The 14,727-nt window shown below is 61.4% G+C and overlaps 1 protein-coding gene across 1 annotated transcript, besides 4 other annotated features; it reads right to left on the bottom strand.

Moving 5' to 3' along the window:
- Positions 1–631: 631 nt before the first annotated feature.
- On the bottom strand, positions 632–8,509 carry TRMT61A (tRNA methyltransferase 61A). The gene is made up of 4 exons (NM_152307.3): positions 8,444–8,509; positions 7,396–7,755; positions 4,857–5,123; positions 632–3,155 (listed from the first exon to the last, which is right to left on the bottom strand). Exons 2-4 carry the CDS (start codon positions 7,724–7,726, stop codon positions 2,884–2,886), a joined length of 870 nt encoding a protein of 289 aa, NP_689520.2. The 5' UTR covers positions 7,727–7,755; positions 8,444–8,509; the 3' UTR covers positions 632–2,883.
- Positions 4,338–4,837: an enhancer, noted in NCBI's record as "H3K4me1 hESC enhancer chr14:103999205-103999704 (GRCh37/hg19 assembly coordinates)". NCBI's record gives its function as "activates a minimal SCP1, AML or CMV promoter by ChIP-STARR-seq in naive H9 embryonic stem cells {active_cell/tissue: H9 hESC(naive)}" and the evidence as "EXISTENCE:reporter gene assay evidence [ECO:0000049][PMID:30033119]".
- Positions 8,353–8,522: a silencer, noted in NCBI's record as "silent region_6158". NCBI's record gives its function as "represses an Ori minimal core promoter by ATAC-STARR-seq in GM12878 lymphoblastoid cells {active_cell/tissue: GM12878}" and the evidence as "EXISTENCE:reporter gene assay evidence [ECO:0000049][PMID:35858748]".
- Positions 8,533–8,582: a silencer, noted in NCBI's record as "silent region_6157". NCBI's record gives its function as "represses an Ori minimal core promoter by ATAC-STARR-seq in GM12878 lymphoblastoid cells {active_cell/tissue: GM12878}" and the evidence as "EXISTENCE:reporter gene assay evidence [ECO:0000049][PMID:35858748]".
- Positions 13,748–14,633: an enhancer, noted in NCBI's record as "H3K4me1 hESC enhancer chr14:103989409-103990294 (GRCh37/hg19 assembly coordinates)". NCBI's record gives its function as "activates a minimal SCP1, AML or CMV promoter by ChIP-STARR-seq in naive H9 embryonic stem cells {active_cell/tissue: H9 hESC(naive)}" and the evidence as "EXISTENCE:reporter gene assay evidence [ECO:0000049][PMID:30033119]".

Here is a 14,727-nt window from a genome sequence, read left to right as displayed (position 1 = left end):
GCTGCCCTCCACCCACCCAGAAACCCTGCCCTGGTCCCCACCCGTGAAGCCCAGGTTGGGCCCAGGCCTCTGGGGCTCTTGGGTGAGGGGCTGGGCCCTGAGGCAGGCATGGGTGGGGCAGAGTGAGGCCCAGGAGCAGCTGACACCCCGGGGCTTCCTGAGGGAGGGGTACTCTAATCTCGGCTCTAGGGCAGTTCCCAGGACTAGGACCCTCCAAGCAGCTGAGTCAGAGCCAGGGTCTGGGACCTTCCAGGGCTTGGGCAGCTGGGAGTCATGTGCCACTGTCTCAGTGCAGGACAGCAGGGTGAGCGGGGAGGAATTGCCAGGGAAAATCTGAGGGCCACAGGCGAGTACACACTGGGCCAGGCAGGGAGTTTCTGGTGAATCCGTGCCCCATGATGAGCCCGTGCTGCTGACTCGCGCTGACCATCCGGGCCTGCTCATCGGTCACTCACGGCCATGGGCCCAGCTCTACCTCTGAAAGTCAGGCTCCCCATCACAGAACTGGGGCGCTGCTTGCCTTCTGCTCCTCTGCTATGGGGACTCCTTCGGGACATGGTGTGCAGGACTCTCCCGCCTGGGCATTAGATGTCTGGGGAAGCATGCTGAGAAAAGGACATTTGAAGGGGTCTTGAAGGACATACAGGAGTTTAATGCTGGCTCCAGGCCACGTGAGGATCCAAGCTGAGGGAGTGGGGTGAGGCCCAGCTGGGTCTAGAGGGCCATACGGTGGGGGTGGATGCCTGGAGGCTCAAGGTCATCATGGGGGCCTGTGTGCAGGGCAGAGCAGCAGGGCCGAGGGGATTGACACAGCAACTCTGTCCCATGTGACAACTAAGGGTGGGCTGGGACCTCCCGCTCTCCATGTGCGGACCCTGGTGACTCACCCAGGGCTGCCACCAGGGCAACCAGCCCCGGCTGGAAAATGGGCACAACCTGGACCCTACGGTGCCTGAGGCCTATGTGTCCTATAAACCATGGAGCTGCGCCTCAAAGAAACACCTCCCGGTGTCCACCCATCAGACACCATGCAGGCCTTTGCTGTGGCCAGGAGGGGCAGGGCAGGCTTGGGGGAACTGAGATCTCAGGGGTGTGCGTCACCCAGTTCATGACACCCCAGGGACAGCCTGACCCCAAAGCTCCTGGCATTAGGGTCACCCACTTCCATGTTGAACCTGACTGGGGGCCCCTCCTCTGTGCCCCAGGTGAGTAACAAGGTTAGAAGGGAAGCTGGGTCCTGGAAGGAGAGGACAAGCCCTCGGAGCAGGGCTGAGCAACTCTCAGGGACACAGGCCTCCCGGACCACATTAGCCACAGCCCCCGGTGACCCACAGTGTGACACTTCGCAGGGACCAGGCGGCCTGGAGTGGACCCTTCCTTCAGGGGCGCATACAAGTAACCCAGGCAGCCACACTGAATTCCAGCCCAGGACTGTGGAAGAAGGCCCAGCACTCCTGGACCACCCCAACCCCAGGAAGGAGTGGCCTTTTCTGCAGCCAGATGGGGGTGGCCACACATTTGCCCCTTTGTCCTGGAGACTGGAGCGCCTATCATGCCAAACCAGGACAGGGAGGAGCAGGGACCAGGGGCAGAGCGCAGGTAGGGCTGGCCTAGACAGCAGCTGGGGGTGGCCTTGGCTGCTAGGGATCACTCAGAACAGAGGGGGACGGTACGTTTATTGCTCATCACTCACACTTGGGGCCAGGCCCCTGCTAGCATAGCACTCAAGGCCCCCAGCACAGGGGAAACAGAGGCTCCCAACAGCCACTGGCTGCCTGGGCAGAAACCCAGGCCCCCTAGGCACCAGCGGCAGCTCCAAGGGCCCCATGGCTGACACAGGCACTGCTCCTTCCTTGAGGCTGTCAGACACCAGGGCGGGCGAGGAGAGCCCCCAGCCTGGGCGTCCTGCCCTCTGTCCCCACTTTGGGAAATGCCCCTAAGCTTAGCCTTTAAGAGGTGATCACATAGGCACTGTCCCTGGGTGGTGTCCTGAATGCACCTCCCCTACCCCACACCGTTGTCACTGTGGAGGGACCTCCTCCATGCCCTTGGCTTCTGTGAGGGGTAGGGGTACCCACATAGTTCCGGGACTCACAGGCTGGCATTCACACCCCAGCCCCGACACACTTGCCTGGTTGCCTGCGGCAGACAACCCACTCTGCCGCTCCTCTCCGCAGCGCTGCCTGGCCTCAGCGAGTGCAGCCCATGTCAGGGGCTCTGGCTGGGTGGGGGATGCCCCGCCTCTTGGACATGAGTGGACGAAGGCCTGGGCTGAGCTCAGTGCTGTGACATCAGCCAGGAGGCCAGAGAGCAGGGTCACCTCCCTGGTTCCTGGGCTGGCCTGGTCTCCTAGCGCTGGGGAGAGCAGGGCAGGGATTCTGGGTCAGCTCACCCCAGCTTCTGGCCAAGGCTGGAGCCTCGGCCCGGGGACTGGAGAAGCACGAGATGGTCTCAGGCCCCGTGGGGCAGCCAGGGCCGTGGGGGCCCAGGGGTCAGACGCAGCGTGGTCTCAGGGTCAATGCCCCCCTCCCTCCTCCACCCCCTTCCTGCTTAGGCCCACCTGGGAGGGGGTCAGACTCCCCCACCTGCACCCTTTGGCTTCAACACCCAGGGGAGCCTGTGGCAGTGGATACTTCATATTGGCAACAAACAGCAGCTGGGATGGGCCACAGGGCTGGACAGGAATGGCTGAGGCCCAGCCCCAGCACTGCTCCTCCATCACAGCCGCCCTTCCTGCTGTCCCACTCTGGCCACCCAGGAGGCCCCCAAGCCCCACCCCACCGTCTGTGTCTGGCAGGCATCGCTGACCATATAAGGTGCCTCTGGCCTCCCTGCCCAGCCCTTCAGTGCTCCCAGCTCCCTGGTGCCCTGGGAGGCGGCCCCCTAGCCTGGGGTCTTGGTGGCGAAGGTCAGGTAGCCGGTGTGGCCCACGGCCTCCTTCATGGGCGTGCCGCTGCGGAAGGGGCTGGTGTCGGAGCCGGCAGGGCCATCTGTGCCTGTGCCCAGGTCGGGCGGTGGCAGGCTGACAGTGCGCACGTTGTAGACCTGTGGCAGCACCTCCAGGGTGCTCAGCTCTGAGAAGCCGCGCGCTGCCAGCGCCTGGCATGTGCGTTGCACCTGCTCGATGCACGGTGAGAAGGAGCAGAAGCGCCCGCCTGTGGGAAACAGGACCCGAGGGTCAGAGGGCAGGGGTGGCAGAGCCTGGCCCGTCTGGCCCTAGCATCCCTGGACTCCCACCCTAGGGTCTGAGGCCAGCCTAAGACAGCCCCAACACAGACTGCAAGCTCTCCAAGAGCTGGGACTGCAGGGCAGAGGGGCCTGGCCCTCAACTGACAGCCCCCCATGGGGCCTGGCGCCGCTGTTCATGTCACCCAGCTTAGCCATGCCAGGCCCTCCCATGTGCCAGGCACCGGGTCAAGCCCGCGCTGCCATTGTCTCACTTGGCCCACAGCGGGCACTGCTCTCCTGCCTTCCACAGGGCTGCTGGAGCTCTGGGCCCGGAGCAGCTCTGACAGCACGGCAGCGTGGGGCGGTGCGGGGGCCGCTGCTGTCACAGGAAATTAGAGGCTGTCGCTGCTCCCGGGAACAGGAGGCGCCTACTCGAAGCAGAGCCCGAGCATGACAGCCCCTCCCTGCCGCCTCCCACCAGGGCAGCCACGGGCTTCACTTGGCCTGGCCTGCAGTGAATGAGAACCCAGCCCGGGTCCCTGTCCTGGCAGGGAGGACCTGGGGAAGCCAGGGCCGGGTAGAGGTATGTGGCCCAGGCAAGTGTCCTCAAACGTCCCTGAGGTTTGGTCTCCTCAGCTGTACCCTAACACGGGGCCGCCAGGAGGTTCGGGGTTAGAGGAGGCACCTGCTGTGTGACAACAGCCTAGACAGGGCACAGAGGCTGAGCATGCCGCATCCTCCCCAGCGGGCTCCCGTGGCCGGCAGGAGATGCCGGGCCCATGAATGAGCCAGGAGCCTTTGGACCCAGAAGGGGGAGCTCGCAGGGAAAGGGACAGGTCCCAGAGGCAGGCGCGGGTTCCCCGAGCCACGCTGGAGGAAGGAGTCACAAAGGCAGCAGGGGGGCCCCAGGGGAGGCTCTGCCGGGTTCAGCCTCCCTGGGACTATGGTCCAGGCCCAGAAGTGTCCCCAGAGCAGGAAGCCTAGGAGGCAGGGTGTGGAGATCCCCACAGCTACCCACCTCAGCAGAGACCAGGACCCAGGAGTCAGGGCTGGGCTGGAGCCAGCAGGGGACCCCCGGCCACAGCCTTGCTGTTCGCACCAGGCCTCGGCTCATCTTTGAGGTGGGGTGGGGCGCCCAGCACCTCCACCCTTCAACCCTCTCAGAATACAACTCTCAGCTGGGAAGAAGGAAGGGGCCCCTGCTGCCTGAGCTGCTCCTTCTCCAGAAAAGGGAAAAACCCTGGGCCTCCCAGCCACCTCCCTGGCTTGAGGCCCGACCTTCCCCAGGGCTGCCCCGCCTCCGCACCCAGCATCTTCCCTAAAAGGGGCCAGCTCCCTGGGCTCCAGAGCCTGGGGGAGGAGAGGTTTTGGGAAACAGCAGGGAGGGGACTCCAGACTCCTCCGGCCGGGCCTGCCCTGCACTTGGGTGGCGCTGCCACCTTCCTCCATCAGGGGGTTGGGAGAGGCCAGAGACCAGGAGCAGGGCCCAGCCAGGGACCATCCTCCCCAGCTCTGCCTCCCCTGGCCAGCCTGACCCACTCCTCACCTCAGGCCAAAGTGGGGCCCTGGCCTGGCCACTGCCATGGTGTGGCTTGGTCTCTGGACCCCTCTGAGATCCCAGGAGCTCAGTCCTGCACCCTTGCCCCACCCCCACCCAGGCTGTACCTCTCCCGGAACCCCGGATGCACCTTCGACCTTGAGGGCGTCCCAGGCGTGGCCCACGGCCTCCCAGGGTGATGGGATGTCCAGGAAGACGGCGTCGGCCACGTGGCTCACGCCAAAGCCACTGCGGCACACGTCCTGGGTGCGCACAGTCACCCAGCGGCCCACACGGTGCTCCTGGAACTCCTCCCGGGCCTTCTCTGCCCGCTGCTGGTGGAACTCCACCGTGTGCAGGTGACCCGTGGGTGCAATGGTGCGGATGATGGCGTGGGACACAGAGCCACTGCCGGTGCCTGGCAGGACAAGAAGGGATGGGCAAGGCATCAGTTGGGACTGCTCGGGACCCACAGCCTCCCAGGAAACAACCCCCACCTCACCCTGGAGACCCACACAGGGCTTGGGAGGACCCCAAGCTACAGGTGGGCGTCATTCCAGGGCTGTATGGTCCTGGCTGCCTAAAGCCCCAGGCTAGCCCTGGGTTGGGCACCCTGTCTAGGGGTGAGCTGGGGTTGACAGGCTGTGTATGCCGTGCTGTCTGTTGTGGGCACAGGCGAGGCCAGTGGCAACCCTGCCCTATCCTGCCTAGCGCAGGTATAGGGAATGAGAGCAGCCCAGCTGCCTGGAGCCTCCGGGGAAATCTGTGCAAGGGGGACAGGGAGGCCATCCCATCACTCAGCCCTGTCTTATTCCATGCATGGCCCATCACTTCCTCAATCCCCGTCAACAGTGGCCCACCCTGCCGGTCCTCATGCCCACCTCTCCCCAGAAGCTCCTTGGTCCCCTTGAGACAGCCCACCCCCACCAAGCCTGCCCAAACCTGCCCCCACCACACAGGGGCTGGGGCTCTGCCCTGGCCTGGTTGGACTCAGGACGCAGGGCCTGGCCACCAGCCACACGGCCCCAGTCCTCCCCAGCGCACCTGCCCCCAGCTTCCCTCCCCAGCTTCCCTCAAGATGGCCCCTCTGCTTGACTTCCTGTCTTATGGAGAGGGTCAAGGCTTGCATCCCTCCTCCCACTCCAGCTTCAGGGGCCATCTACCTGATGCCACTCCCATCCCCAGGCCCCTCCACTGGAGACTCCTGCTAGAGCAGCCACTGCACACTTGCCACCCATGCCTGGAACCCAAATAGCGCTGAGCATCGCAAGTGCTTGGGCCAGACCCATGGAGGTGCCTCCACTCCCTCTATCCCGTCCCACGTCCTGCCACCTCCCACATTCCTTTCAGGGGCCAGCCCCTCTCCCCACCTGTCCAGCCCCTCCCCTGGGTGCCCCCAGCCTGCTGCCTCGCCCCTCTGCAAAGCCTGGCCATGCCCCCTTCCCACTAAGGGGCAAGTCAGACTTGTTAGCCTCCGGGGTGGAGCTCGCTTCCCCTCCAACCTCACTCCCAGCCCCTCTGCCTCCCCCACTGAGCCTGACTCGGCAGCATGCTCCAACTGCAGGGCCTCGGCACGGCTCCTCCTTGGTGCAGAGCTGTCCCTTGGCTCTTCGTAGGTCCCTCCTCATCATTTTCAACTCAAATGTCCCCTCCTCAGAGAGGTCTTCCCTGCCTGGCCTAGCTGGAGAGTCCCCACTCTGGGTACCCCTCAGACACGCAGCCCTGTCTCACAGGCTTCACAGCAACCAGCGGCACTGAGATGCTCACCTAGGCTGTGTCCCCCTCCTCGAGGGCAGGAACCTGGTCTCTCTAGTTCACGGTTCCTAGGAGGGGACCTGGCATATCTGAGGAGGCCAGGAGAAGGTGCTGCTTGATTGAGCTCTCTCGCGAGAGTGGGGCAGGGGCGGAGAGGCCAGCACCCACCACAGGATGCACAGGAGCAGCAGCTGATGGAGTTGGCTAAGTCCTGCTCTCCACCCCTCCCACCCAGACACCCCAGGGAGGGACATGGTGACCTGCAGCCCTCAGAAAGCCAGCATGGCAGTGCTAGGCACTCTTCGTGAACCTGGACCCTAGCTCTCCTGCCCGGGAGGAACACGCCACCAACAACCTAGATGCATCAGCGCCTGGGGCCAATCTTGGCTTCAATCGCCACACTGGGCGGCCCCAGCACCTGTATATGTGCAGGGGTTCCCACAGCCCAGGCCCTGGACTCAACAATGGTGCTCACATTCATTGGTAGCAGGTGAGGATCTGATCATGGATGAGGATGGGGAAGGCTCCCCACCTACAGTGAGCTCCTCGGGGTAGCCCTGGCCTCTTTCCAGAAGGGGCAACTCTCTCTGCTTCACCATCAGCACGGAGGACTAGAGGTTGACGGTCAGTACCTAGGACAGCGCCAAGCATCAAGCTGGCCACGCCCCACCAAGGCAAGCAGGACCCTCACTAGAGCACCAGTCCTCCCCAGCTCCTCCTGGTCCATTTCCCACCACCTCTCACTCCAGTTACAGCACCAGCCTCCTAACGGGCTTCTCTGCCTCCACCTTCACTCCCTGCTGTCAGCATCCCGGAAAGATGTGAAAATAGAAACTGAGGAGCCACATGTGTCTGTAGGAAGGGCAGGCTGGAGGCTCTGACCTCCACCTTTGTGTCAATTTCTGCGTTAAACTGAGGCAGCCTGAGGAACTCACCAGACTCACAGACCACAGAGCCGGGCCGAAGCTCCAACATCATGGTGATGAGGGCGATGTCTGTGGAGTAGAGGATCTGCGTGCGGTGCGGCAGGTTCAGCGTCCAGAGCTCGGGCGTGGGGTGCAGCACATACACCCAGCCACCTCGGCCGCACGTCACCTTGGAGCCGAAGGGGCGGCCGATAAGGTCAACTGAGTGCCGCAGGACACCATGCCGGGTCTGGGTCTGTGCCCCACGCTGCACACGCACCGCCACCATTGCACCATGGCCCAGTGACAGGATGGCCGTGTCACCCTCCTTGATCAGCTCCTCGTATGCCACGAAGCTCATGGTGCTAATGTCTGGCAAGGGCCAAGGACCTGGGGAGGGGTGTGTGTAGGCATGAGCAAGTCAGGAGGCAGGATGAGGGCCTAGGGTCTAGGTAGAAGGCTTCGAGGCCTACATCCCAGCAGTGGGCATGGGCGGGGTGTGGCTAGCTCAGCCTCAGTCTCTGCCACTGCCTGACAGGGAGCCCAATAGCGCTGCACTCTGGCCTGGCCTCTGAAGCCTTTCTTGGTCTAGGACAAGAGACAGGGACTATGAGCCTAAATCAGAGATGAAAAGACTGAGGCTTGGCAATGGCGGAGTTCGGTCCCAAGGATTCCCGGAGTGAGGACCCGACCCTCCCATCACCCTTCTCCAGGAGCTTGACTCCCATTCCCAAGATGTGAGATGAGGAAGCGCCTTTGCGAGGTGTCCACCGGCGGGGGAGAGGCAAATGGTCAATGAGGTCACCTCCAAGCCAGGCTTGATTCCTCACCCCAGTCTCCCCCACGGGGGCTAGGTGGCAGGGTATGACAGAGGATTCAGGGCTCCCCAGTAAGGGGCTGGGGACGCGGAGCTGGCCGTCCACGCAAACACCGCCCAGCCGATGCAGAGGCAACAAGGGGCCAGGCCGGGCCGGCGGGGGCCGCCCATGCGAGGCTGGAGGGACAGGCCCTGCGCGCCGTGCCCGGCCCGGGTCACCCTCACCCGCGCCCTGCCACCCTGTACCCCGCGGAGTCTCACCTGCGACGCTCCTGCTGCCGGGGCTCCACACGTGCCTCCGCGACGCGCGGCGGCGGCGGCCACAACACTTCCGGCTCCGCGCCCGCTGATGACGTCGCGCCCCGCCTCCGCCTCCCCCTCCCCCCCTCCGCGCACGGGATCCTGGGAGCGCCAGGCTGCCCTTCCCGCCCCTCCCAGAGGACGTTTCCTGGGCGACTTCTTCCCTCATGTGAGCTGCTCTGTTTACATTTGCTGGTCGCTGGAAGATCGAAAGACTGGACAAAATCCATATGGCGGCCGGCCGGCGCGGTGGCTCTCGCCTGTGATCCCGCGCTTTGGGAGGCCGAGGCGGGAGGTTCTTCTGAGCTGAAGAGTTCGAGACCAGCCCGGGAAACGTAGTGAGACCCCCACCATCTCTACAAATAATAACAAACAAACAAAAGGTCCCCCCGCCCCGCCGGCCGCGGGTTGCCGTCGCACCCAGGCACATTTGAAGGGCGGCAGGAGCCAAGGCCTGGCTGTCACTGCTGTCCCGGACCCCTTTGACGGCCCCTGGGGGTTCACCAGAGGGCTGGCCCGTGGCTCACTGCCCAGTCCTCTATGAGGACACTTCGCCATAGACATTTTGTTATTGCAGACTGCTCTGGGAACACCCCTGACTGGGCCCTAAAATGAATTCCAGAAAAGGAATCGCAGGTCAAGGGGCGGTTCTAAAAGGCTTGGGCTAGGGTCAGCCAGAGCTCTGTGCAGCAGATGGGGGCCTGGAAAAGTCTGCAGAAGTGGCCTTCCGCCCAGGCCCTGCCTCCCCCGACGGGGGCACGTTGTCCTGAGTGCAGAGCTGCTTCTAGGAGGGAGTAGGGGTCCTGTGTCCCCTCCTGCGAACCAAGGCATAATGAGAACTGGATGACTTGGGCCCACTTTTGGGTCTGGTGAGCAGCCTGGGCAGGAGACTGGAGGAGGTGCTGCTGGAGGATGGGCAGAACAGGGAAGCGGGAGTGGCGTTCTGTCTCAGCAACACCATTCCCAGCTGGCTCCTCTGTGGAGTGTGTGTGCAGGGGAGCGGGGGCAGGGGACACGGATTTTCTTCCTCCAGCTCTTAGCTCTCAGGACCAGAGCTTGGAGAGGAACAGAGACCCCCCTACCCAGCCTAGGGTTTAGCCTGCGCCCGAACCCAAGCCAGTTAGCAATGACCCTAGGGCACCCTCCCCAGTCACTCAGCCACTCCAGCCTGGTAAGATGAGGTGGCCAGGCTCCTGCAGAGCGAGCTCCCCTCTGGAGCCCTGGCAGCCTGTAGAGCACTCTCAACTCTCTCGCCTCTGGGGCAGGCCAGGCCAGGCTGTTTGTGGCCCTTGCATTGGCTTCTCAGGGTCCATCATGGAAACCTAGGGGTCCAACCTCAGCCCCTCTGTGTCCCTGCCCTAGCTGCGGCTGAGAGCCCCCAGGAGTAAGCTGGTGAGAGGCCTTCCATGGCCTCCCACTCTCTGTGGGCTCCTGTCCCTGTGGGGCCACCACGCTGGCCACCAGCTGCCTCTACTTCTGCCTTACAGCCTCCCTGCCTTCTGCTCTCAACGTTGAAACAGCCCCCTCCACAGCTCCCGAACCTGTGTTCCAGCGGATGCTTCTCTCCCTTGATGATGCACCCGCCTGAGTCACCCCCTAATTTCTCCCCTGGGGGATTCTGACTTTCCACTTCTCTTGGGTTTCTCTTCCCCAGCCTCTCAGCTGTGGTTGGTGTGGAGTCAGGGCCGGGTGCCTATAAGGGCCTAAGGTAGGACTTGGTGACTCGGCGGTGGTTTCCCTTGGTTCCGACTTCCCTCTTGCCTCTCTGTCTATTACTGGCTGGTCAACTCCTCCAGTGCCCCTTCCTCCAGGCAGCCTCCTCAGCCCTGCCCACCTGCTCCATCTGAGCCTGCCCCAGTCCCCAGCCTGAGTCCTCAAGCAGAACCAATCCCCCCTACCTCAGCTGATGATTCCCTGTGCAGAGTTTGTATTGGGGCTCCCCTAACAAGAGCTGATGCTGTATATGCCCAGCTGTGCCATCTCATTGACTTCTCCCCAGGATCCTAGGAGGGAGGGAACACTTTACAGATGGGGAAACTGAAACTCAGAGATGTTAAATAACTTGCCTGAAGTCACAGCCAGTGAGGTCAAAGTGGGATTAGGATTTAAAGCCAATAAACCCCCAAAGCTCAGCACTGAGGAGGCTGAAGAGGGAGGACTGCTTGAGGCCAGGAGTTGGAGTTCTGCCTGGACAACATAGCAAGACCCTATCTCTTAATTAAGAATTAAAGCCAGTAAACCGGCTTCAGAGAACCAATGGCTGATTTGAAGAAAGGTGGGAACAGGCAGGAAGGATGCCCACTGGGGAGGCTGCTGTGCCCAAATCCCTGGCAGGGACCACGTGACTGCAGTCCCTCCCCTCTAAGCAGCACAGCCTCCTACCCCACTGTGCTCTGTGATCCCCAGTCAGCCCCTGTCCCTCTCCTGACCTCAGCCCGCTTCCTCTTCGGGCTCTGCAGAACTCAGGGGCAGGGCACTGGGAGGAAGCAATGCTGCCTCTGGCTGCACTCTGCAGAGGAGCAGACTACAAGGATAGAGTCCAGTGCCCTGCCTGGAGTCTGCCCTGTGCCTGACCTGCTGAGCCGGGTCATGTTCTGTGGATAAAAGACCTGGGCCTCCTTTGAAGCCCCCTCCAGGCCCAGTGGTTCACGTGTAACCAGGTGTGATTTCTGAGGAACCTGGACCAAACACTGGCCTGGTAACGTCATGCAGCCTCCTGCCTGGATGCTGCCAAAGCAGCCCCTGTGGGCCCCAGGGAGAGCAGGGGCTGTGGACAGGGGAGGTCAGCTGGAGGGGAGGCTGGCACCTTCCAAGCCCCTCTCCTTGTGCACCTGCTCTGGGGGACACTAAGGCTCCCAATCAGCCCCTGCCTGGGGGGTCTCACCCTGACATTTAGGTCTGAAGGCCTTGAGGGCCACCTCCCCACTGTTATCTGCTGCTGCTGTCCCCGTCACAGCTGCCTGGCCCCCGTACACTGTCATTTTGCCCCAGGCAGGCTCGCACAGGGCCGGCGCTCTGGGAGGGTGGAAGGATTGCTGGGCCCATGACTGGACACCTCTGTCACCCAACTTCTGATCTATCTGCACGTTGAGACCAGCCTGGCCAACACAGCAAGATCCCTGTCTCAACAGAATAAAAACAAAAATAAAATGATCTTCTGTCTGCACACTGGGGACAAAAACACCCACCTCAGAAAGCTGAGGGTTACCAGCGGCGCCAGGCCGGAGCCGCCCCAGTGCCAGGCTCACTGCTTGCCATAGGCAGCCCTGCCCTCTGGATCTCATATCTGCAGTTCTGACCTTGCCTGTGGAGGGAAAGTGTAGGGGAAAGAAAGAGATCAGACTGCTACTGTGTCTATGTAGAAAGAAGTGGACATAAGAAACTCCATTTTGTTCTGTACTAAGAAAAATTCTTCTGCCTTGAGATGCTGTTAATCTGTAACCCTAGCCCCAACCCTGTGCTCGCAGAAACATGTGCTGTGTTGACTCAAGGTTTAATGGGTTTAGGGCTGTGCAGGACGTGCTGTGTTAAAATGTGTTTGCAGGCAGTGTGCTTGGTGAAAGCCATCGCCATTCTCCAGTCTTGAGTACCCAGGGACACGATGCACTGCGGAAGGCCGCAGGGACCTCTGCCCAAGAAAGCCTGGGTGTTGTCCAAGGTTTCCCCCGACTGAGACAGCCTGAGATATGGCCTCGTGACAAGGGAAAAACCTGACCATCCCCCAGCCCAACACCCGTAAAGGGTCTGTGCTGAGGAGGATTAGTGAAAGAGGAAGGCCTCTTTGCAGTTGAGATAGGAGGAAAGCATCTATCTCCTGCTCCTCCCTGGGAATGGAATGTCTCGGTGTAAAACCCGATTGTACATTCTATTTACTGAGATACGAGAAAACTGCCTTATGGCTGGAGGTGAGACATGCTGGCGGCAATACCGCTCTTTACTGCACTGAGATGTTTGTGTAAAGTCAGACATAAATCTGGCCTACGTGCACATCCAGGCACAGCACCTTTCCTTAAACTTATTTATGACACAGAGACCTTTGCTCACATGTTTTCCTGCTGACCCTCTCCCCACCATTACCCTAAAGTCCTGCCACATCCCCCTCACTGAAATAGTAGAAATAGTGATCAATAAATACTGAAGGAACTCAGAGACCAGTGCCGGCGCGGGTCCTCCATATGCTGGCACCAGTTCCCTGGGCCCACTGTTCTTTCGCTATACTTTGTCTCTGTGTCTTATTTCTTTTCTCAGTCTCATCCCACCTGACGAGAAATAACCACAGGTGTTGGGGGGAGGGGCTGCCCCCTTCAGGAAAGGGGAAAGGGGGTCCTTTCCCATGGGGGACCTGGGAAGCAGGTTAGGCTCTCAGCCAGGAGGGTGAGAGAGGGGAGGGTTGGCCTTCTGAGAAGCTGCAGTTGCTGAAGACAGAGGAAGTCCTGAGTGTGGCCCCCAAGTCTCTCCCTCCCCCCAAGTCTGCCTCCAGGGGCTGCAGCTATCCCTTCCAGAAACAGAAACTTAAGCCCTTCAGGTTTTGTGGGGTAGCAGGTGGGCAGCTGCAGAAATTTCTAAAACTGGGCGAAGAGGCTGCACGGGGCACAGAGTGCAGGAATTCCAGGCTTAAGGGACACCTGCTGTCTGGCCAGCCCAGAGGGGCCGTTTGCCTTTTTACATGGGTTGGTTTTATTAAGTCTAAAAAATGCTGGCTTGGAACAGGACGAAGCATGCCAAGGAGCAAAGAGGCATGTGTCTCCTCTGCAGTGACCATGGGGATGAGACAGGAGAAAAGGCCCCCACACCGATGCTCACATAGGCAGAGGCGAACAGGCTTCCCCTGCCTTTGGGCCTTGGCTCTGGTGCCTTCTGCTCTGAGGCACCTATTCGGGGTCCCTTATACCTGGAACGCCACTGCTCTGTGTCCCCCTGGCCCCAGCAGCACCGATCTGATGTCATCTGGTTTGTTGGGCTGCTGGCTCATGGCCAGTCTTCTTCCAGCAGCAGGCGCTGTGTACCTCGCTGCCTGCTGTATCCCCAGCGGCTGGCACCTGTTAGGTGCTCATTGTGCCACTGCTGGAGGGATTTGTATCAAATATACCCACAGATAAGAGTTCCCCCCTTCTTTGCTTTATTCACAGAGCAACAGATGAGGGTCCCTGATGGATATTAACCCCACATCCTCCACTTCCCCCTCTTAACAGCTGCATAATATTCCACAGCAAGCAGATGCCTCCCTACCCTTGGCCACTCCCGCCTGATGGGGCATCGGGTTGTATCCAGTTATGTTTGTTTTTCCCTCCACAGATCTCTTGGTCCATTAGTGGAGAGAACTGAGACATCCTTTCTAAGGGCTGCATTCCTAGAAGGGGAGATTGCTGGGTCACGGAGTTCGAACATTGTTAACGTTAATAGATTCTGCCAAATTATCTTGCAAAAAGCATGCAGCAATTTAAGTTGCAGGCAGCGTGTGGACGCCTGTCTTCCCGCATTCCAGCTCAAAGCCAGCAATGGCTGGGGTCGATCTGGGAGTGTTGGGGGTAGGGGCAGGTGGAGTCACTGCTTAATTTGCATGATTCTGGTTATTCGTGAGATCAGTTTTTTTTTTTAATCGCACTTATGCTTATTGTTTATTAGCGTTTCCTCCCATCTTTGCCTGAAGTCTCCGGGGACTGCCTTTGGGGGTCGGGTAAACTTGTCCCCTGCGAAGAGGGCCCAGGGTTGGGGTCTGGAAACTCCGAGGCTGCACTTGCCAGCGGCCTCTTAAGGCCACAGCGTCCCCGTGGTTTCTGGCTCGCAGCCCCCCGAGACCCAGGACTTGTCCAAGGTCAGGGCACCGCGGGTGCCCCCGGGCTGGGCCGCAGCCAGACTGCGCTTCCCGCGCGCCTTCGCTTTGCACCAGGATCGCCCAGGAAACGCCTGCGGGCACCTTGAGGAAGGTCGGCGGCTCCGGGCCAGCTCGCACTGGCCGGGGGTGGGGCGGGGGCCGTACCTGCTGCGGAAGCCCCGAAAGCTTTCGCCCGGCCCCTCGCCGCCGCCGCGGGGGCTGGCTGGACTAGGCGGGCAGGCTCGAGGATGCGGATGAACCCAAGCGTCCTCGAGTGCCCGGAGGCTCTCCGCCTCAGTTTCCCGCCCAGAGGCAAGGGCGTGCGAGGGGATCCAGATATCCAAGGACCTGAGGTTTCGGCCTCGAGGTCTTGGGCGGGGGACTGGGCAGGCTGCGCGGGGTCCCAGCGAGGGGACAGCTCGGGTGGGCG

This window comes from Homo sapiens, chromosome 14 (genome assembly GCF_000001405.40).
Source record: "Homo sapiens chromosome 14, GRCh38.p14 Primary Assembly".
NCBI lineage: Eukaryota > Metazoa > Chordata > Mammalia > Primates > Hominidae > Homo > Homo sapiens.
This window is presented reverse-complemented; position numbering and strand designations above follow the sequence as displayed.